The sequence below is a fragment of the Homo sapiens genome, chromosome 2 (assembly GCF_000001405.40).
Source record: "Homo sapiens chromosome 2, GRCh38.p14 Primary Assembly".
Taxonomy (NCBI): Eukaryota; Metazoa; Chordata; class Mammalia; order Primates; family Hominidae; genus Homo; species Homo sapiens.
Genome location: NC_000002.12, coordinates 165,133,620 through 165,158,571, shown reverse-complemented (window position 1 = coordinate 165,158,571; position 24,952 = coordinate 165,133,620). Strand labels below are relative to the sequence as shown.

The following is a 24,952-nucleotide window of genomic DNA, read 5'->3' as shown; positions in this document are numbered from 1 at the left end:
GAGGGATTATCTAGGTAAAGCAAAGGGGATTTTTTTTTAGGGTGAGAACCTGTTCTCTAAGATTCTATAATGGTGAATATGAAACTTAATGCATTTGTTAAAACTCATAGACCTTTATAACACAAAGAGTGAATCTTAATATATACAAATTAAAAAAAAAATCTTTTGTGAGGTTTGGGGATCCCAGGAAGAAATGGAATATGTGACAAAAATATATACATGTATTGCAAAATATGAAATGACCTCACTGTAGGTGGTGGGGTAATAACATGCTAACCTAAGTAACTTTGGAAATGAGTGGAGTCTGTAAGACTAAAGGTAAAAGGAACAATACCCTAGTTGATAAAGTTGTTTCCAATGGTAGTATAGATTAACAATCCTGAAACCACTGTGCATGTGTACCAGTACTGAGCAATTACAAACATGTGTATCTCCTTGTTCTGTCAGCTGAGAGGGCCTAGAAGCAATGACACCCCAGTAGCAACAAACACAGCTAGCACTCAGATCTTGGTTTCTAATACCATTTTCCAATAAAAAGAACTAGGGCTCCTTGGAGAAATGGTTGATTCTAGGACTGCGGCAGAAATTATAAAAGATGAGCCTGGAGCATCTGATAGTACCTAAAACTAAGAAAGTGTTAAAAAACAAAAAAAAATGCAACCCACAACCATGGTGTATGTCAAACTGTTACAGGTGTCAACTGAAAGAGCTTCCAGTGGCCAAAGATGAAGCCATTTGAACAAATAAATGAAATATCATTGAATTGTAATCCAAAATATAAAATGACTATCCATGACTACATGTTAATTGAAATGATTGAATAATTAAATAAAATATGAATGGACAAATATCCTATGCAGAATAATTTCAAATAATTTTGGTATATACTTAAGATCATAACTGCGGGTTCCTTAAATGTGGTCTGTACACAGTGACTTTATTTCAAAGAGCACATATGGAAAAGGAAGAAAAGGGAGTAAATTTACAGTAGAGAAACCTAACACTACCTCAAGACAGGTGGTGAAAGTTAACATCAAGAGTGATAAGTCATAGTGAGTGATAAGTATGTACCCTTGGCATGATGTGATGTGATGACAGTGACATTTTACCTCTGTAGTCTTCCACCCAAAAATCCATAACCTAAATATAATCATGAGACAAACATTAGACAAATCCCAATTGAAGGGTATTCTATAAAATATCTGACCAGTAATCCTCAAAACTGTTGTGGTCATCAAAAACAAGGGAAGTCTGAGAGATTGTCACAGCCAAGAGGAGCCTAAAAAGACATAACTACTAAATGCGATGTGTATCCTGAATGGGATCCTGGAACAAAAAAAGGACATTAAGAAAAAAACTGAGGGCTGGGCACGGTGGCTCTCGCCTGTAATCCCAGCACTTTGGGAGGCCGAGGCAGGCGGATCACGAGGTCAGGAGATGGAGACCATCCTGGCTAACACTGTGAAACCCTGTCTCCACTAAAAATACAAAAAATTAGCTGGGCGTGATGGCAGGCACCTGTAGTCCCAGCTATTTGGGAGGCTGAGGCAGGAGAATGGTGTGAACCTGGGAGGCGGAGCTTGCATTGAGCCGAGATTGCACCACTGCACTCCAGCTTGGGCGACAGAACGAGACTACATCTCAAAACAAAACAAAAAAAAAGAAAAAAACTGATGAAATCTGAATAAAATAGTAACTTTAGGTAATAATAATGTATTAAGGCTGGGTGCGGTGGCTCGCACCTGTAATCCCAGTACTTCAGGAGGCCAAGGCAGGAGATTGCTTGAGCCCAGAAGTTTCAGACCAGCCTGGGCAGCGTAGCAAGATCCCATCTCAATTAAATAATAACAATATATCAATATTGAAAATGGCATGGAATGTATGAAGCCTGTACTATCCTCATACTTTTTCTGTAAATAAAAAATTGTTATAAATATTAACTTTATTTTAGAAAATTCTACAAAACCAGCTAATGAAATGGTTGATTCCCCACTCTTTGTCTGTTTTCTGGCTTTTAATTTTTTTTTTTTTTTTTTTTTTTTTTTTTTTTTTTTTTTTTGAGTCAGAGTCTCGCTCTGTCACCCAGGCTGGAGTGCAATGGCACAATATCGGCTCACTGCAAGCTCCACCTCCCGGGTTCACGCCATTCTCCTGCCTCAGCCTCCCGAGTAGCTGGGACTACAGGCACCCACCACAACGCCCAGCTAATTGTTTTTTTTTTGTATTTTTAGTAGAGATGGAGTTTCACTGTGTTAGCCAGGATAGTCTCGATCTCCTGACCTTATGATCCGCCCGCCTTGGCCTCCCAAAGTGCTGGGATTACAGGCGTGAGCCACTGCACCCGGCCTTAATTTTTAACTATTGATTCTTGCCACTTTGTAAAGAGTAGAAATATGGTAATGTCAGAGCCAAAAGTGTGTGGTTGCTAGCTTTCTGCCATTCTAAATGTCCGTAAATATTTATTTGCATCTAAATTTTCTATCGGTCTTCCTAGTGAATTTCATCTGATAAGTTTCACGGTGGGCAATCACCTAAAGTGTTCTGGAAATTAAAGCAAGATAATTCGTCACAGATAGCAGCTTTGGGTTTTGAAAATTCCTATAAGTCAAATAAATTGAAATTGCTGTAATTTCTAAACTGACCCTACCTCCATTTCTCTCTCTTATAGCCAGTGTCCAGAAGGATACATCTGTGTGAAGGCTGGTCGAAACCCCAACTATGGCTACACAAGCTTTGACACCTTTAGCTGGGCTTTCCTGTCTCTATTTCGACTCATGACTCAAGACTACTGGGAAAATCTTTACCAGTTGGTAAGGTCCAAATGAGCATGCATAACATTTATTTTTATAGACATGTATGAAATGAAAAGCATAGGCTGGGTGTGGTGGCTCATGCCTGTAACCCTAGCACTTTGGGAGGCAGAGGCGGATGGATCACTTGAGTCCAGGAATTCGAGACCAGCCTGAACAACATGGCAAAACCCCATCTCTACCAAAATACAAAAATTAGCCCAGCATGGTGGCGCCCATCTGTAGCCCTAGCTACAAGGGAGTCTGAGGTGGGAGGATCACCCAAGCCCAGGAGGTGGAGGTTGCAGTGAGTCGAGATCATATCATTGCACTCCAGCCTAGATGACAGAGTAAGACCCCATCTCAAAAAAAGAAAGGGAAAGGGAAAGGGAATGGGAAAAGGAAAGGGAAAGGGAAAGGGAGAGAAGGGAATGGAAGGGAAGGGAAGGGAAAGGACCTGCTTATAACACTCTGGAACACAGAGGAAGGTCCAACATAAAGCAAGTGTGCCAGGAATCCTAATTGCTCACTGAGTCAGTACCTATATATGTACACTGAGGACTTTTTTATGTGAAAGGCATTCTGCTAGGAACTTGGAGATGCTCATGACTCTTAGAAGTTGATAATCCAGTTGTTGGTATATAAACAGCACGTTAAAAGATTTTAAAAATCAGTGATGTTGATGTGAAAATTTCAAATTAAAGCTCTAGCTATTAACTGAGACTAGAAGGGGAGGGGAGCAAAAGTCATCTATAGATGGTATGGAGAATAGCTGCAGTGCAAATGGAATCCCACTGAAAGGATTTAAAGGTTCAGTGCTCTTACTTGTCATATTATTGCTCTGCATATGAACTCTAATAAAAGCATTATAGTGGGGCTCACATATATATCCACTATATATGAGTTTAAAATGTATTTATATCCAACAAGACTGCAGTCAAGCCTCAAATAATCTGATTCTTAATTTTGTGTGTTGAGCATATCAATACCAAAAAATTCTTGGTGAAAATAAACTGGATACTAAAAAGCTAATTAGTCTACTGACTATCTAACTGTGGTAATCAGATATTTATTTGGGGACATTATACTAAAATACTGATGGAATTATCCCCCATTTCCCCTAGACATTACGTGCTGCTGGGAAAACATACATGATATTTTTTGTCCTGGTCATTTTCTTGGGCTCATTTTATTTGGTGAATTTGATCCTGGCTGTGGTGGCCATGGCCTATGAGGAGCAGAATCAGGCCACCTTGGAAGAAGCAGAACAAAAAGAGGCCGAATTTCAGCAGATGCTCGAACAGCTTAAAAAGCAACAGGAAGAAGCTCAGGTACTGAGTGATAAAAGCAAAGATTTATCATTATTATTATTAGTTTCTAAGTAGAAATAGTGTTATACTATAGAGGGTAGATTGGAACTGCTTTTTCATTTTATATATAGGCATTGTCATTAGAAAAAAAAGTATTCAAATATGAACTTGTTTCTGAAGTTAGAGTCTAACAAACTTTTTAGCCACTGTATATAAAGAAATCAGCTAGCGGATAGAAAATACATTAGAGATAAGGTTTACTATGGAATTGTCTCATAGAACCTAAGAGAGGAATTTAATTTTTTATTTAATTTAGAAAAGAAATAAAACTGATATTTCCAATTATTAGTGATTCACCCCTAATTATGACATTTGAGATTTTGTTCTGAAGTTAATTGATTTTAAAGGTTGACAAGAGACTTTATATATACCTATGCTTAACAATTCTTTGGGATTTCTGTAGCAAAAAAAAAAAAAAAAAAAAATGTTTGCTATAGCCCACATCAGGATATCAGGAAGGTATCTAAAGTTAGATGCCAACTTGAGATTTTTATTAATATTAAAGGCTGTGTGAGCTAGGGGTATAGTGAATGGGACATTAATGTGTTGAGGAGAAGAGACGGAAACACAGTACTGTATTAAAAGACAGAAAAAAAAATCCATATACTGAAAGGTGAAGACTCACGAATATATAGTAAAAATCTGATTCATGCCAGTTAGAATTATAATTTCTCAATATTTTTGCCAACATTTGGTATGGCCAGTCTTTTTAATTTTAGCCATTCTAATAAGTATCTCATTTCTGTTTTGATTTTCATTTTCCTAATTACTAATGTTGAGCACCTTTTTCTGTTCTTATTTTCCATCTGTATAGCTTCTTTTATGAAGTGGTTGTTCAAATCTTTAATCCCCTCCTTTTTTTTTAGTTAGGTTGTTTGATTTCATATTATTGAGTTTTGAGCATTCTTTGACTCTTTGGGATGTAAGTCCTATATCACATATATGCTTCTCAAATATTTAAAGTGCAGTTTATCCAGAGTATTATTTCTTAGCTTTTTTGTTTAAATCATTCTTTTGGATCTAAGAAATTTTTGCCAAGTCAACACCATGAGTATTTTCTTCTAAATTTTCTTCTTAAGTTAGTTTTATGCTTTATATTTAGGTAAATAACCCATTTTAGTTAATTTTTGTATAACATATGAGTGATATGTTGAGATTCACTTTTTTAAAATGAGTATCTAATTATTCCAACTGCATAAAAACAAAATATTCATTCTCCACTGCATTGCCTTTGAACTTTTGTCAATTATTAGTTGTCCATAGGTGAGTTTGTCTATTTCTGAACTCTATTCTGTTTAGTTTATTTGTCATTTTTATACCAGTACCACACTCTCTTAATTCCTGTACCTTTTATGACGAGTCTTGAAATAACATAGTGCAGGTCCCCAACTTTTTGTTCTTTTTTTTTTTTTTCAAAGCTGTTTTGGCTGTTTTATGTCCCTTGTAGTTCTGTATGAGTTTTTTTTCTAAGTTTCATATATATATATTTTTTATTATACTTTAAGTTCTAGGGTACATGTGCACAACATGCAGGTTTGTTACATATGCATACATGTGCCATGTTGGTGTGCTGCACCCATTAACTCGTCATTTACATTAGGTATACCTCCTAATGCTATCCTTCCCACCTCCCCCACCCACCAGTTAGAATGGCGATCATTAAAAAGTCAGGAAACAACAGGTGCTGGAGAGGATGTGGAGAAATAAGAACACTTTTACACTGTTGGTGGGACTGTAAACTAGTTCAACCATTGTGGAAGACAGTGTGGCGATTCCTCAGGTATCTAGAACTAGAAATACCATTTAACCCAGCCATCCCATTACTGGATATATACTCAAAGGAATATAAATCATGCTGCTATAAAGACACATGCACACGTATGTTTATTGCGGCACTATTCACAATAGCAAAGACTCTATATGAGTTTTAAACTCCATTTGTCAATTGCAATTTGAATGATTTCTATTGCTGTCTTCAAGTCAATTATCTTTTCTTTTGAACATTTAATCTGCCGCTAATTTCATCCAGTGTATTTGTCATCTGAAACATTGTAGTTTTCACCTCTGCAAGCTTGATCTGTGTCTTTTTTATATTTCATATATCTCTAATTAACATTGTGAACATACACAATACAGTTATAACAACTGTTTAAGTTCCCTGTCTGCTAATTTGAACATCTGTGTCACTTCTTGGTCAGTTTTGATTAATTTTTCTCTTTATTATGGGTCACATATTCCTGCAGTTTTATGTTCCTGACAATCTTCAATTGAATTCCAGACACTGTCAATTTTACTTTTTTTAAGTGCTGGATATTTTTGTATTCCCATAAAAATTATTGATCTTTGTTTCGGGACATAGTTATGTTGTTTACACAGTTTGATCCTTTTGTATCTTTAAACATTTGAAAATTTGTTAGGCAGGACCAGCATACCATTTATTCTAAGACTAATTATTCCTCACTAGTGAATCAAGACCCTTCCTAATACTCTACCCAATGCGCATTTAAAACGAAGTGTTTGCCAGTGTAGGAACAGACACTGTTCTGGCACAGTGTGATTGCCAGGTGGTGTTCTCTCTTATCCTCAGCCTCAGGTAGTTTTCTAAGACACATGCTTGGTGAATAATCTTCTCAGTACTCAAGGGGAACCTGAGAAGATCCCTAGAGTTCTCTCTCTGCTCAACTCTCTCCTCTGTGGTACCCTGTTTTGTGAACTATACAACCACCCTGATTTTCCTAAACTCAGCTTCATCTCATCCATTCATGGAGTCTGCAGAGATACTTCCTCTCTACATCATAGTCTGGAAGTTCCAGGCCATAAGCTAACAAAAGCATAGAACTGACTTGCTTGCTTTTCCATTTTCCAATATCTTAAAACATCCTGATCTGATGTCCAGTGCCTTCAAAACTACTGTAACATGTATTTTGTCTGTTTTATTGGTTGCTTCAGGAGAGAGCAAATCTGGTCTCTGTTACTCAATTTTGGCCAGAAGCAGAAATCCAAATAATATTTTTATGCACTGACTTTTTTGAGGATTTTTTTCAGATGAATGGCTCCACATATTTGAAGTATTCTTTGGATGACAGTATATAACAGAAATTGGTATATTCAAAATTTAAGTTTTTAACAATTCTGAGTTACTTTGAAGATGCACAACAAATAGCATTAGGTCCTTTCTCAAGGCATTTTTTGGGGTAATGGAGATACAGCAATGAGTTGTTTAGTGAATTATTGAGCTCAACTCTAGGCATAGCTTTTGCTGAACATGCTAGCTTGACCACTTTCATCTTACCATTGGATACAGAGTAGTAATGTGGATATACCTTATTGATTTTATACAGAAAACTATAAACAAATTTGGTGAAACTTGAAAATATTTTAAAATATACCTCATGCTTGCCAGAAAGTTCTACATTTGAATTATTTAAGAGTTTTATTCTATGTCACCATAAATAAAACACATTTATAATATAATAAAATAAAAATAGCTATTTACAGGGCAAATACTTTATTTCAAGGTTTTAAATAAGTGTTATAGGAAATAATGTTCATAAATTGCATATGATTGTATTTTAAAGCACTGGGTTTTTCTATTATCATTAATAAAAGAAGACAAATTAATGTGCTTGAAAATCCTACACAGATAATGAGTTTATTCTAAAATGCAGCCATTTTAGGGTAAAATATGACATCAATTAAAAAGAGTATAGTCTTTTTGAACTTAGAAATAAACATGCACTATTTCTAGTAGAAGTTTAAAGAACCTATGATTATGATGAGTTCGGCTAAAAAACATCAGTTCTATTACCTTAGTAGTCAGTTACTGAATCTTAGTGACCAAATCATCACAATTTGATTCAGCTTTAGCTTCATACATATAAAATTTAAATTTATCCAAGGTAAAGTATAATACTGATTGGAGTAGCACAGTGCCAAATCCATTTTAGTTCCTTATTGACAACACAAGTAATGATGACTAGTAAATTATCAATGTTGAAGCCAGGAGGAAGTGGAGGCAAAGACAGAATTAGTGCACCTATAAGATCATTTATGCTGCAGTGTAGCTTAAGTCTCCCTAACCACCTACGACTCTTCAAAAGTTACTATCTAGCCAATGACTTCATGAAGGCTAGCATCACTTCCATCTTTGTTTATTATTGGTTGAGGGGCCACCTAGGGCTAGTCACGGTGTAGGCATGAGAAAATAATGTGGAGAAACACAAACCCTGCAAAGAAATCAATGTTTTGTCCTAGATCATTCTAATTGTGTTTGACATTTAAATTGTGATATTTAAGTGCCTAATGTTGCCCAGCTTAGTATATCCCATAGCAGTCTATATTGCTCTGATAGGAAAAAATTTGGGAGTAAGCTCTAGAACAAAATTCGAAATAGTAGCTCTTAAGAAATCTAATATAATTGGGGTAGAACAGAAATAGGTATAATGTCTTGTAGCTTTGAATGGGATTTTAACTGGATTATATACATAAAATGAACAAAGTATTAGTTATGTGGTTATATTTTTACGGACACACAGATACAGTGAGTTACAGAGCCTACTTTGAATCACACAAAAATGTTATAAGAAAATGTAATTTCCTGAGTAAATATTAAGTGAAATTTCTTATTTGTTAAAAGAGGAATTCAGCAAGTTGGCTGTGAAAGTAACACAGTTATTCTCATACGCAGGACATTGGTAGTGTCACAGAGTTGGGTATAAACAGGTACACAGACATGAGAGATGACAGGAAACATCTGCCTTTGAGGGAACTGGCAAATCACTGGAAGTGGAACAAATGACAGATTTGAGTTGATGAGTGACACAGAAAATGTGTCTGAGGTTACCTTTGTTGCCTTAGAAATCTGTTTTGGTTTTGAGTTATTTGAACTGTTACCCAGAATAGGTTTGGAAATAATGTCTTATGCAAAACAAAGTTTGTGGCCGGGTGCGGTGGCTCGCGCCTGTAATCCCAGCACTTTGGGAGGCTGAGGTGGGTGGGTCACTTGAGGCCAGGAGTTTGAGATCAGCCTGGCCAACATAGTGAAACCCTGTCTCTACTAAAAATACAAAAATTAGCCAGGTGTGGTGGCTCACGCCTGTAATCCTAGCTACTCAGGGGGCTGAGGCAGGAGAATCACTTGAACCCGGGGGTGGAGGTTGCAGTGAGCCGAGATCATGCCATTGCACTCCAGCCTGGGCGACAGAGTGAGACCCCATCTAAAAAAAAAAAAAAAGTTTGGAAGTGATTTAAATGGACATAAGTTGTAGGATTATGGTAAGGGACTATTACCACCACTTCCTTTGTTTGCAGGGACAAACAAGTCAATAAATGATTAACACTGTGTGTTGTGTGTTTGTGTCTATATAAAATAGAAAAGAGAATTAAGGACTTTATTTGGATAAGAAAGGGTATATATATATTCACTGTTTCAACAAATGGTGTATATTATGTACCTCATATGTATCCAGAACTCTGTAACTATATTTAACTTGCTATAGATAAGTGATTCATTTATTCACTTTATTTTGCATATATAGTCAGAGTTATAAAATGTACTTAATATTTCTCATTTTACATCATGAATTATATTAAAAGTGATACTGATGATCAATAATTCCATTAAAAACCTGGCTATATGACTCTATAAAATTTTATAAATATCTAAATTCTGAATTACTGTTTTATTTAAATGCTGGGTATTGTCTTATATCAAGTCTTAGATTTGAGCTTCCATTATGAATATAGTGCTTAATATAAATAAATATGTTACATTTTATGTGTTGCTTGGTCAAACACATAAATTTAAAATCATATTTAGTACTAAGTTTCCCTCCCTGAGATCATTGTAATCCTAGAGAATTTGCAGCATAGTAATTTTAGATTTAAAATCTTTTTTAAATTTTTAAACATGAAGTTTAAAAATGAAAACTACTTAGGAGAGTTTGCTTCTTCTCAAGAAAGATGAAACATAAAGCACAAAGTGTTGTCAAAGCATTATAAATAGGTTTTATCTCCATTTCTTCCTAAAATATGTTGTTATATAGACTGTTATGACAGTCTTTTATGATGTCTTGAAAAGTCAAGTCTTTTATGATGTCTTGAAAAGTCAACTTGCTATCTGTAGCAAGTTAAATATAAGTTCTATAAAGTTCTTCAGAAGCATCAAAGTCAAGGTTAAGTATGTCTTGTTCTTCCCCCACCCCCACCCCAGTGTCTGAGACAATTGATAGCAAAGTACATTTTTAAATCTTTATTCACCAATTATTTACTGAGCCTTATTTATGTCAGGTGACATACTAGTCACTGAGCATACAATGATACAATTTCTATCTAGCTTACAGTTAATGGGAAAGATAATATATTAGATAAGTTAGATTTGTTTGTATTTAGTGATGACATATGTAAAAAGTTTAACTGATATTGTCATAATTTAATTATTTTCACTTCTGTGGTTACATTTACAAATAGTAATATACTTAATGAGAACTCAGCTTTGATGCACACCATATTGTTTCATATCCTCTGTATGTCATTGTTAGATCATTTCCAGTCTAAAAATACTATTTGCCATGTTTCACCTCAGAGCTGACTGTGTTTCATTTGTAGGTACAGAAATTCAAAGTGCTTAAGAATACTTAGTGCTGCAATATAGAAAGAAAATATTTGAAGCAGTTCTCATAATCCTTTGAATGAATTTATGTAATGCTATGTTAATCATTTGTTATTTATAATATTAAATAATCTATGAACGTTTAACATTTTTTAAGTGATATGTAATAAATTCTCTGGGAGTAACATGATCACAGAGATGTGAACTACAGTCCTAAATGTAATTCAAAGGAAGGAAGAGGATAAGCTATCTAATACATTTCCCTACTTCCATCTGGAGGTAAAATAGTAGACACTTGAAATGTTTTATGTTCACAAAAAATAAAAGAAACAGTCTTTTGTACTGGATTTAGAGGGGAAAAAATACGACTCAGCTGCTCAGAAGTGCACACAGGAGGAAACGTTTTACAGATGGAATCAGAATGGTAGTTAGATAAGCAACCACCACGAAGAAAACATTTGCTTTTTAAAGTATAGAAGACACTTTGAAGAGAACAGTTGTCACCAACCCCCCCCCCCCAAAAAAAAGACAATCCAGAAGATAGGCAAAACCAGATTTTTCTTGCTTTAATGCATACACTAGCATATTGCTTTATATGATTTAAAACATAAGGGTCATTGTTAAGTAAACTCTTGTGGTGAGACAAAATAAAAGGACTAGAGGATAGACTTTTCACTTGTAGTTAATGAGTCTTAAATGGCAATATTTTAACCATACTCAACTGTTTTCAAAGCTCTGTGTTCTAAATAGTGCCTGGCTTTGTTTTATGACAGGCAGTTGCGGCAGCATCAGCTGCTTCAAGAGATTTCAGTGGAATAGGTGGGTTAGGAGAGCTGTTGGAAAGTTCTTCAGAAGCATCAAAGTTGAGTTCCAAAAGTGCTAAAGAATGGAGGAACCGAAGGAAGAAAAGAAGACAGAGAGAGCACCTTGAAGGAAACAACAAAGGAGAGAGAGACAGCTTTCCCAAATCCGAATCTGAAGACAGCGTCAAAAGAAGCAGCTTCCTTTTCTCCATGGATGGAAACAGACTGACCAGTGACAAAAAATTCTGCTCCCCTCATCAGGTATGATTTTCTACTAAGTGCTCTGGTTTCTTTGTCATTGCTATTGCTTTTTAGTTTTTGTATTTTGTTTTGGTACACTTTTGTACTATCTGACTTCAGTGAGGGACAGGGAACTAACATTTAATATAGTTGTTTAAATTCTTATAATAGATTGTCTTCAAAGGGATTTTTATTAAACCATTAATAAAATGTTCACCATTTTGAGACTGATTATATATACAGATAGATATATTGATATAATATATAGATATATATAATATATATTGATATAACCTATATATCAACCTGTATATATATATGTGTGTATATATGTGTCTATACACACACACACACACACACACACACACACACACACATATATATATATATAACCTACACTAGCAGACTTTTCAATGAGAGTTTTGGAATCTCTTGTTTACATTTTCCATTTTGAGACCCCAGATAAACTTATTTTCTTTGAGAATGGGTTTCTGCCTTTGTTATCCAAAGTTGTGATCGTAACATACATATAAATTTTGAAAAGAAGTGTTCTTTGGGTTTTGTCTTTATCCTTTGATTAAGAGAACTGGACTATGGTGAGTCTCCATTTTGCTTGCATAGGGTCATGCCGTGATACATTAGAATGAAATTATGACCTAAATGTTCTTGAAGAGAACAGCATCAAAGGTAGTCTATTTTTGCTCTGATTTAATGCCAACTACCTGGTTCTTCAGCATAGTTTTAAGTAAAAGAGTAAAAACTAGTTTCAATTATTTGATGTTTAGTAAGTTTTATGGATTAGTAAGTTAATGTATTGTTTACATATGTCTGATGTAAAGAATAATTAGTTACAAAATCTGTGATAAGTACAATTTTGGCTTTGAACACTATTTGGCACCATTAGAATTTCATGTGCTATGAATTGCAAATGCTTCTAATCATAACAATCTTGAGTCAGAATTATACCCTAAAAATAATGCTTTGAGAGATAATATATAAGATTAATTTAATCAAAAACTGCAAATCAACCAAGGGGTATGATATATTTTTCATAAAGAAAGAAACTTCTAAAAAAAACCAGAAGTAATAAACACAAAATTCAACATAGTATTTACTTTTGGTTGGGAGAAAAGGTAATATGCAAGTTCTCAGTGAATGTTTTATAATCTATCTTTAATATGTAAACAAATATTTTTAAAGAAAAAAGTAGACTATATTAATAACTTAAAACTTGTATTCTCATATTAGAACAAAATGGACATGAATACACAAAGAGTTTTAAGATAAAGCCATTTTTCTGCAGATAACATCAATATCAAGAAATTCAACTATTACTATCTTGTGTAATACAAATATAAAATATATTATCAAATCAGTATAACATATTTGGAATTAACTTGAAGCTCTGAAGGGCAACTTGGTTCCTCAGATCAGATTTTTTTTTCTTAAACAGTCACCTTTGATATTTTGGAATTCTTAAAACTATTAGGAGTTATTAGAATTAAGAGTATATGAAACTATAGCATAATGATGCTACAGTGAACACAAACTTTTGTGTTCATATCTCAACTCCAAACTAGTTCTGTGACGTTGGTCAAGTCACTTGTACTTTGTAAAATTTCTGTAAAATAAAGTAAGAATACCTACATTAAAGAGATTTAGGGGACTAAGCAATATATAGAAAATCTGTGTGACAAAGAGTAAGTCTCTTATTAAGTTAAAATCGGTGAATGAATTTCAAGTGAGGGAAAGCAAACTTCTGAGTAGTTTCAATTACTAACAAATGTATATACATAATTTGATAGCAGTATTAGTTCCTTTATTGTTTCATCATTTTGCTCAAATAAATTTTGTAGATCAGTTCATTCAGTCCAATCAACAAATATTTATTGATCGCCAACTATGTAGCAAGCATAGTTCAAGATGCTGAAAATACCTCAAAGAATAAAAGAGACTCAATCCACTGACCTCATGGAAATTTTTTCCAAAGGAGACGGACAATGAATAAAATAAATAAGTTATAGACTGTGTTAGAAGGTAACAAATGTTAAGGGAAAAAAAAGTAAGCAGGAAAAGAGGAACAGGAGCCATAATTGGAGGTAAAATTTTAAATAGGGTGGTTTACAATGACCTCACTATTAAGACATTTTGGGAAAGATTTGGAGGAGGCAAAGAAAGAGGCTCTCTTAAGGAACAGCATTCTAAACTGATGAAAGAGGAAGTGCAAAACCCTGACATGGTAGCATGCCTGGAGTGCTTAAGAAGCAACTGGTAGACTTGGTTTGCTGGAGCTGAGTGAACCACAGACAGGCAAGAGCAGAGAGCTTAGCTGATGGCCAGTGTTTTAATACTAAAAGCAGAATCAGTACATACATGTGGTAGATGTCGCTCATTTTATATTTGTAAATAGACAGAAGATAGATGGATAATTTCAAAAGTGAAGGAAATAATCTATTAGTTTTAAATTTGCATATCCCAGTAAAGACAGACTAAGAGCATTAACAAAACTAACAAGCAGAAATGTACCATAAACGGTTTACAATTTCTGCTTCTGTAAACAAAAAAGGAATCTGGTAGAAAGAGAATCAGTGAAGGTGGTGGGGACAGGAAGCGTAAGATAGACAGTAAATACTGCTCAAATCAAATGTATCTTCTGAAAATGTCAAAGCAGAGAGGGCATAAATTGTGGGTGCCCTGCCTTCTATTCACATAAATTACAAATGTTATTTTATGTTTATTACATTATTTTATTTTTAAACAGATAATGTTAGTTGTACAAAATAAAGAAATACTTAAAAGTATAAAATGAAACCTCAAAATGCTAAGTACTTCTGACAAATATTCACTTTCCTTGTTCCCACTAGAACATCTTAAAATTCCCAGCATCTTTTTCCATCTTGACTTTTCCCAACCCACTTTGAATCCAAACCCTACATGCATGACTGTGTCTTATAGACCTAATTTCTTCTATTTTCCCTTTTGTTACTGAAAATTAAGAAACAGTCTACATTTATCTTCTGGGAACAAGATGAAAAAGATACCTGGGAAATATGTTTTGACATGCCTGAGGTAAAGAAAGATGGCCTTTCACTCCTTAAAACATTAAAGCTGGTTTTCCCTAGAGAAAGTGTTGCCACAGCTGTGGGTATTCCCTCCACTCTGCTGCATCTTCTAGTGTGTTATTTTTGGTTTATTTTCTCTGAATGCTATTTCTGTTATCTTCTTTTTCCGTCTCTGTTGCCTTGAAAGCTGCGCTCACACCCATTATTATACATTCCAAAGAGTGAATAGAAATTTCAAATAAACTCAGAGATCTGGAACGCCTTTGAAAATACCTGACATAAAAATATCCAAATTAAAGGCATGTCCCAGATACATAGTGGATGTACACACGTACCACATACTCCCAACCAATACTGTGTAGACCGATTTTCAGTTTCCAGAGACAGTTTCAGAACATAGGTGTATTGAGGTGATTATACTCAGCCATCCTAGGGATTAATGTAAGACCAAGTTAGTATTTCTCTGAGTGTAGGATGAGGTCCACCCTGTGTTAGGGTCACCTGGAATGTGTCAGGAAAATTCAGATTCCAGAGTCCTATCTGCTACTTCCTGAATCCATATTCCAAAATCTGGGACCTAAAAATATATATTTTTAACTCTCAGAGTGATTCACATACACTCAAATGTTTCAAAACACTAGTTCTGGGCTGGGCATGGTGGCTCATGCCTGTAATCTCAGGGCTTTGGGAGGCCAGGGCGGGCAGATCACCTGAGGTTGGGAGTTCGAGGCCAGCTTGACCATCATGGTGAAACCCTGTCTCTATTAAAAATGCAAAACTTAGCCAGGTGTGGTGGCGGGCACCTCTAGTCCCAGCCAACTCAGGAGGGTAAGGCAGGAGAATAGCTTGAACTTGGGAGGTGGAGATTGCAGTGAGCCGAGATTGTACCACTGCACTCCAGCCTGGGCGACAGAGCGAAACTCTGCCTCAAAACAACAACAACAACAACAACAACAACAACAACAACAACAACACGAGTTCTGGATATAACTGTTATTATATTGATCATTTAAATGGAGTCTGAGGAAATGAAAAACATTAGCATTCTTTATTAATGGGGGGATGAATTGATGTCTTCACATGATCTAATCTCTTGATCACTTTGCTGTAAAATCACTCTATTGTCTGCCCTTCGGTAGACAAACCTGCTACAGGAATTGAGTGTCACATAGACACAGCCTCCGATGGACAAGCTGGACAGCCAATAGTTCCTGTGGAGAATCTAACCAAATCCAAAGGAACAGAGCACTTCTTAGTGAATAATATCCTTCCAGAATATCACTGAGACAGAGGACAACAAAGATTATTCTGGTGCTTTGCAGTCTGGGAAAAGCCATGAAAATAAAGCTAAAAATTGGGGCCTAAGAAAATCAGCATGACCTAATTAGGCAGAGGAACCAAGAATACATTTGACAGAGTCTGCCTTTTCTGTTTTTTCCACTAAAATCATTTTATTTGGTTTTACACTAAAGCTTAGAAGAAAGAGAAGATCCAGGAATGTTTGCTGCTGACATATGTATATGTATATGTATGTATGTATATTACCCTGGGTGTGAAGAGAAGTAGGAAAGGGAATGAGAGAGCAAGGAGGAATGCCATTGTTCATGATGAGGGGAGAAAACAAATATTCTGCAGACTGAATAGAGATGTTTTTGAAAACTATCTGCAAGACAAGAATACACACAGAATTATTTGGGGTTGCTAGTTTAAAATCCTTTCAAAATGTGAAAGAAGGAACTTCAAGCTAAATCCTCATTTTCTGGTACTAGGAAATAGTTTGCTTAATTTATCTGGGAATAGCTGTAATGAAAAAGGTTTTGAATTGTCTCTTTCTTTTTAATATAATTAAAATAAAACAGAAGTATATGTTGTTTTTCACACCACCTGCTGGTGAAGTCATGTTATATGTCTTGCTTTTACAAGCCAGTGTTATATTTTACACAAGAAGAGTAATTTGTGTAGCAGTTTAGGAATCCTCTGTGTTGTGTTTGCTATGACATATAGTCTCTCAAATAAGGTGAATCATTGGTTGCCATTTGGGAAACTGTTAGCAAATTTGGAAGACAACATCGTAGGTAAGTTTTGTGACTTCTGTTCCCATGTGGGTAGAGACAAACAGTTTCAGAGAAAGAGTAAACTACTTTTCTTTCAGAATTCAAAAGAAGAGAATGGAAAAATAGTAGTTTTTTAAAAAAGTAATTATCCTGAAGTGAAATATTGGCTACAATGCAACATTTGAAACAAATATTTTAAATTTGAGCTAACATTCTCACTTGAGCCAAAACTTATTCTCCAGGCTACATTCCCTTCAGATTATAGCATTAAGAAGTAGAAGCTACTTACTATTTGTTTAACCACCATTCCCATCAAAAGAAATCATTTATCCTTTTCAGCATCTGGTCCCTAACCTATAGCATTATGATAACCCAATCCACCTAAAGTGAAGACTAAATGAAGTGGTTGTATACTTAGTAAATTGCAAATCAGTATTGTTAGTCAGAAAAACACTCTTTGTACTTAAATTTGCTTTAATAAAAATATCAAAATATATGTGTCCTCTATAAATTTGATTATCCATGTTTAAGAGCAAGAGTATACTAACTCCAAAGAAAACAGATCCTTTAATATTAATATTTATTAAATAATTGCGTTCTTCCCCTACCCCCATCCCATTCCTTTCCTTTTTGCTTTCTCTGCAGTCTCTCTTGAGTATCCGTGGCTCCCTGTTTTCCCCAAGACGCAATAGCAAAACAAGCATTTTCAGTTTCAGAGGTCGGGCAAAGGATGTTGGATCTGAAAATGACTTTGCTGATGATGAACACAGCACATTTGAAGACAGCGAAAGCAGGAGAGACTCACTGTTTGTGCCGCACAGACATGGAGAGCGACGCAACAGTAACGTTAGTCAGGCCAGTATGTCATCCAGGATGGTGCCAGGGCTTCCAGCAAATGGGAAGATGCACAGCACTGTGGATTGCAATGGTGTGGTTTCCTTGGTGGGTGGACCTTCAGCTCTAACGTCACCTACTGGACAACTTCCCCCAGAGGTGATAATAGATGACCTAGCTGCTACTGACATTATTCACCAATTTGAAATAATCAAAGCCTGGACAGTTTAGGCTGTCATACCGTCCTGCTTCCTCAAAATGAAAGTTGGTAAAAATAATACATGATTAATCAAAGGGAAAACAATAGAATATTGAGAATCAATTGAATTGTATGGGACCATTAGCTTTTGTTGTATGGGAATTACTTGTAAGGGACCATGGCTTTAGGTTAAAAGGGCCCCGTTTTTAGAGTCTGCTATGAAATACATATCTGCAAATTTGGTAGACCTACCGAGACAAATAATGGACATTTTCACCATCAAATCTATAAGATGTATATTCACCAAGAATTGTATAATTATCTATTCATATTCTGGAAAATTCATATTCTTAAAATTAAATATTATAACCAATTTGTTGATAATGGGCAATTTCATACAACTGTCAATATTTACAGTGCTATTTTAAAATGACTCTAAAATGTGTTGTTTTTTAATAGGATAAGATATAGAAATAATTAAAGAAATTTCAGGAAAGCACACACATTTCATCGTACATCTGTGTTTGTGCATGGAAAAAATTGGCCCACATATGTCAATATTGTCAATATAGCCTCAAAGAAAATAATTCAGCCTTGAGACTATATAATCATAATATTTATTGGGGGGAGATTGATCTGATTATTAATCATTGATAGAAGATAAAAATAATTTTCACCTGAATGAAATAAAATAATAAATGACTTTAGCATGTTTACAACAAATTTCCTTGAAAATTGTGACAGGTTAATTAAAATAGTTCTGTAATATAATTGTGTTATAAAACTGCATCCCACTGGTGAATTCCTCTTAAAGAGTACTACCTGTGATAACTTTTTTTTAAAAAAAAAACTGTTTATAACTTAGCAATAATTCAATATTTTATTCCTTGAAAATTCTTACCTGGAAAAATTGCATGTAGCATGATTTGCCAAAGAAATGCTATGTGGTGTTGTATTACTTATTGGGAAGAGTGGTTTGAGCCATCAGTATTTGGTTTGCAGGGCACCACCACAGAAACGGAAGTCAGAAAGAGAAGGTTAAGCTCTTACCAGATTTCAATGGAGATGCTGGAGGATTCCTCTGGAAGGCAAAGAGCCGTGAGCATAGCCAGCATTCTGACCAACACAATGGAAGGTAAGAAGCAGGTCATGGAACAGCCAACTTTCTGTGATTATGTGCTTTGTGAACTATTCCTTCTTTTCATAGAATTACTGAAGTCTGTTACCCAGATCGAAACTATATATTAGACCTAAGAATGTGATATATGGAGTACATTATCACATTGATTACAAAAACTAATATTGGCCTTATTTCTTTTTGACTTGGGTCCTTACCTTACTTGCAGAGTGATATTTCAACACTTGATATTATATCAATGAGGATTTATTCTTATGTTATGTTACTCATATGCAAATAGAGTAAACTCTTCCCCTTTTCTAAGTCTTGGTATATAGAAGCATAAGGAAACATTTCTTTCAGGCTTTAGTCTGTTCTTCAGGCATGGAAGTGTTGATGGGGTTGCGGGAGCACTTAAATGAGTTGGGCAAATCAAAACCTGTCCTCCACTGCAAGAGAGATCCTACAAAAGGGTCTCTCTTCCATCTTCTACATACACAGCAACCATTACATTCCTCCAAAGGACCACGGAAAGAAATGTTTGTTGATTTTGACACAGAGGAATAGGCAGCAACTATTTATACACTAAACTTGTTCATACATCACACAGCCCTCACTCCTTGAAGTCTGGAGAGAGAATATATTAGTACTGCCCTTTTTAGATCAATTATATGTCAATTCTAACATATGTTCTTTAGAAAACATCAATTACATTTTATATCATGTCTTCTTGGTGTATTAGATATACAGTCACATAATAATTATTTTGTAACAGGCCTCATCCATTAAAATTTCAAGCAATATTTTAAATACATGATGCTAAAATTCTAAAAGATATGTACAAACCACAAAAGTAGATTTGAGTCTGAATTTATACTAAAAAGAAAGGCATACTACGTTCTCACTGTGTGCAAGATTAATGTTGATATGGAAACTATGAGAGGAGAGAATAGTTCATAAATGTTATCACACACATAAGGGATCACAACTTTAGACAATGTTTTTAAAAAGGTACTTTCAGAAGAAACAATAATTATTTAAAATTTTAATAGTTGTGTAATGTTTATTTAAAATTCTGTTTTGACAAAGAGAATACAGCACTTTAATCAATCATAACCTAGTCATTTTAAAAGCAAAATATTAAATTCAAAGTGCTTATTTTCTGTATTCAAAAGAGAAAAAAGTCGATCTATATGACATTTTAATTAACATTTTCTGAAAATATTTAATGGGATTGTCTTCTCAAGTTTCTTAAGTAATATGAACTTCTATTTTCAAATATAAGCATCAATTTTGTTAAATAATGTAAAATCTACTAGCAATAATAACTCATTTTTGTTGTTATTTACTACTCTTCCTTGTTATTGTCCCTCCAGAACTTGAAGAATCTAGACAGAAATGTCCGCCATGCTGGTATAGATTTGCCAATGTGTTCTTGATCTGGGACTGCTGTGATGCATGGTTAAAAGTAAAACATCTTGTGAATTTAATTGTTATGGATCCATTTGTTGATCTTGCCATCACTATTTGCATTGTCTTAAATACCCTCTTTATGGCCATGGAGCACTACCCCATGACTGAGCAATTCAGTAGTGTGTTGACTGTAGGAAACCTGGTAAGTACATTTGAAGTTTACTTATTTACTTTGGTAGATGTGGGAGAGATAGACCAAAGGGAAAGATGTATTTGTGCTGTGTTGAACCCAAAAATTATATCCTCTTTCCTCATAGAAAGAAATATCTAAGGAATATTACAGGGAATCTCAGAGATACAGCCTAAAACTCAACTGGTATGAATGCTGATTGTTTAGGCCAATGTCTGTGCTGATTGATCATGGTGTCTTACCAGTTGTAAACGTCTCAAAATCTTTACAGTTGTTCTTGCTGGAAATGTGGGTCCAGATAAACCAGGAGATCTAATACTGGCTCCACAATCATGTGGTTTTAACCCACACAGCCTCTAAAACAATCATGTCCATTGAAGGGATGACCCAAAGATTGATGTATATGAAAAAAAGAACATCATTGTTTCAAGTTAACTACCTAATAAAAAGCTTCAGTGATAATCATACAAGAAAAAAAATAGTTGCTAAATTTGCATTTGTGATTTAGCCATACCTCTGGTTCAAATTACTGAGCATTCATCTGTGTCTATGTGTGCTAATCAAAATGGGTGAACAAGTAAGAAAAGGGTTTACATATATTATTAATCAAGAGCTTTCTCTGTACTAAAACAAACTTGGGGCAAGGGGTAGTGGGGAAACTGGAATGGAGGGAAAAGGTAGACTAACAAACTAAGTAAAGGGCAGTATTGCAGTCTGACTTTAGGAACAGTTTTCATCAAGGGCTTAGATATGGCCCACAAGTTCACTGCATCATTTGTCTTTAGGTCAGCAAATGTTCAGCAAGAGCTCACTGATTTTCCATCCTACAACCTCTACACTGAAAAGCATGAATCTCCTTTTGAGTCTCATTCCAAAGACTCTCCTGGTAGAACTTAGGCATAATTTAGGTCACATGCTCACCTCTGATTTAATCAGCCTTGGCAGAGGGTGGGATCATGTTGAAAACATGGCAGTCCTGAGGAATCATGCGTGAAGGAGCAATTGCCAACAGAAGGGGGAAAGGAAATGCTGGTGGACAATTGGATAATTGTGTGCCCTAATAAGTGACCTCAAATTATCTGCATTATTTGACTCAGTAGAACACCCACCATATTCTTGAGATTTTCTTCATCTTTGGCAAAGGCCGTGTCCCATTTTTCTGTTGCCTCTCTCAGTGTTTACATGCTAGTCACTCAATAAATAACCCACTGGTTGATAACTACCCAAAAAGGCTGCTTCAAGTAGCATGATTTTGCAAAAGAGCACAGACTTTGCAGTGGAGTGGAATTGAGTTTGACCTTAGTTGCCTAGTGCTTACTAGTGATATGGCCTCTGGACAATTCTGATAAACAATCTGAATCTTTGTTTTCTATTATTGAAATGAGTGTAATAATACCCTTCGTGCAGAGTTGTTGTGAAGGTCACATGAGGTAATGTGAAAGCACCTAGACTGTGCCTGGCATCTAGCATGTGCTCAATAAACAGTTTCCTTCCTCATATATATGCTATTAACCTTTTAGACCTTTCTTTGAAATAATGATGGAAAATATTTCTGGTGTAGTTCTTGTATTTTTCCCAGGATATTGGACAGTTAGGGAAGTTGAACAGGTGAAGGAAATTTGCCAGAGTGAAGCAGGAAATATAGAATTCCAATGCTGAAGCAGTTGAGTATGGAAACACAGGATAAGAGAGGCTGGATTATAAGATGATTGAATGAAAAAGCACTAGACAAAAGCATCAAATCTAGGTCCTAGTCAAAGTGTTCATGGTAAATATCTGTGTGGTTTTGAAAAGTCACTTAGATCCTTGAGTCTATTTTCTCAACACACATATAAACAATGAGTGTGTTGGACTAAATGACTTTTTATGTATGTCCCAGTTCTACAATTCTATGACTTTATGGGTAGTAACTGAAATAATGAGGTGGGAAAGTGGAATGGGAGACTGATGCCTGGTAGATTGTTTGTGATAGAACCATCTATAAGTTCAGGTTAGTGTTGGGGAAACAAAACTTGCCAAGATAGAGAGCATAAATTATAGGGAACAGACTTGAGTTATTTATTTCTATCCATAAAAATAGGAGAATATGTAAACTGACTGTCTCTATTGGTTGATACCTCCTTACTATAATGATTAACATATCAATAATGCATTGCATAATTTACAAAGCATTTGTTCATAGAATATCTACCCATAGAATTTCCTACCCATAACAACCTTTATCATAAATATCCATATGAAAGTAATACATATGTTTAATATATATGCAGAGAAAGAGCATGTGAGAGAGAAAGAAAGAATTTCTATCATTGGTGCTAAGCTGACTTAGGACTATATTATAGATCATAGATGATTACACAGAATGTTTTGTGGAGAGCTTATAATTTGCTCATTAAAATAAATTTAGAATATCTACAGACTAGTTTATTACTGCTCAAATTATTGCATACTGCTTTATGTTCTACATGAGGACACTGAATTGTGGAATTTTCCATCTTAACTTAGATCAATATGCCCCATTTTGCATTCTGTTTCTGCAGTACATAAAAATTACATCACTTCCTTGTTGATGAGATTAATCAAATTTGAGTATCAAGAGACCTTGAATCTCAATTAAGTTTTGCTAAGGTGCTCCGTATTTTTGTGGAGTATTTTGTTTTGTTTTGTTTTTTAATCATTATAAAATGCTTGCTCCCATCATAGGGATTCAATCAGCAAAAAATAGCCTATCAATCATAGTAGGTTAGACAACATCATAACAAACATTTCCAACTTACCTGACAATGCTGAAACTAGATTAAAATGTACCAAAAACAATCCCATTGATTTTTAGGGCCTTAACTGAAAACAGTTACAGAGATATAGCTGTCATTTTGGATTGCTAGTTGTAATAAAAATATTATTTTTAATGAAAAGTTTTATGGCGGGATTACATTTTTAGATAAGCGTAAATTTAGGGTATATGTTTTTAAAGGTATGAGATCTAGTCATTTTAGAAGAGCTGAAAAGATCACCTTATGATTTTCTATAGAAAGAGATATTTGTAGATTATTTACCTGGATGGTTCTAGCTCACCTTAAATAATATATTTCTATCATCAGAGTGCCTATTTCAAATAATAGCTGCTTCTAAAAGTTTTATACATGAAATAAAATTTGTATAGTTACAACTTATTTTACATTTACCAGGCAAACTCACTATTTGAAAAAAAAATCTTTGATGTGTTATTCTATAAAATGAAAAATATATTTTTCAATGGGCATTTCACCATATACTTGGATTTTCATGTACTAGGCTTGCTTAAAATACATTTTATTTCTATTTGAGTGAATGGATGACTACCATTAGGCTGTTTTTTTCTGTGATGGGTATTTCCCATCTGTGATTGGAAAAAATGAAGTGTTAGCTGCATTTATATATTCGTAAGGGTGGATCAAGATTTCTTTTAAGTGGAACCAAATAATTGTTATACTGTTATTTTGACAGAATTCCTTCAAGATAAAGGCTGATTTATCTTCGTAAATGCTAAACTTGACTTTACAGTCATAAACTGCAACTTGTAACTATAGCAAATTAAGAGAATTGCTTTAAAAGATTTTCTGCAAGAGTAATTTCATAATTCTTCATGTCCTGTATCTCTCAGCCTATCGTTTTGAGTTAAAAAATAAATGTTGTGTTTGTTTCATTGTTTTTCTTTCTATTGTCAAATACACATTTATCTAGCCACTCAAGTGACTTATTAATCTCAATTACATGTATATGCATACTGAGTATTTTCTCCTGCTGGTTTCAATTAAATCTGCAGCTTCTTGCTCTATTAATCCATTAACCTTAATTCTGAGGCATACATCCAGAGATCATTATAATAAACAATTTGTGGCAAACTTACTTTTGTTTCAGGAATGTTTATAAAATTATAGAAATAAGATGGTGTCCCTTAAAAAACACAAAATCAAAAACAAAATATGGTTTTTACGAAATCAATTTTTAATAACTTTCAGTAATATGTGGATTTGTTCCTGATGCGATACTACCCAGAAATAAATTTGGTTGTGATTATGTTAGAAATGTAGTGTACCAACAAGGGCAATAATTCAGTAGCTATTATTCAATACCAGAGTTAAAATGTAGACCATGAAATGTTTTAAAATTAGTGTTTTTCTTGGAAATCCAGAAGATTCATTAAATAATACCACTCTACTTAATAAAATACTCTCCTAGAGGAAAAAAAAAAAAAAGCTAGACATGGCTGGGTGTGTTGGCTCATGCTT

General features: G+C 34.7%; 1 protein-coding gene across 13 annotated transcripts in view; it reads left to right on the top strand.

The window, feature by feature from the left end:
• SCN3A (sodium voltage-gated channel alpha subunit 3) overlaps positions 1–24,952 on the top strand; it is a 116,525-nt gene that overhangs the window by 45,479 nt on the left and 46,094 nt on the right. For 4 of the 13 annotated variants that reach the window (NM_001081676.2, NM_001081677.2, XM_047445395.1 and 1 more), the window contains exons 10-15: positions 2,669–2,810; positions 3,914–4,120; positions 11,543–11,833; positions 17,574–17,774; positions 18,964–19,096; positions 20,455–20,693. In NM_001081676.2, coding sequence (NP_001075145.1) covers positions 2,669–2,810; positions 3,914–4,120; positions 11,543–11,833; positions 17,574–17,774; positions 18,964–19,096; positions 20,455–20,693 — 1,213 coding nt within the window. Of the gene's footprint in view, positions 1–2,668; positions 2,811–3,913; positions 4,121–11,542; positions 11,834–17,573; positions 17,922–18,963; positions 19,097–20,454; positions 20,694–24,952 lie in introns of those variants that run through there. The other 9 variants (NM_006922.4, XM_017004660.3, XM_011511610.4 and 6 more) reach the window with 4 other exon arrangements.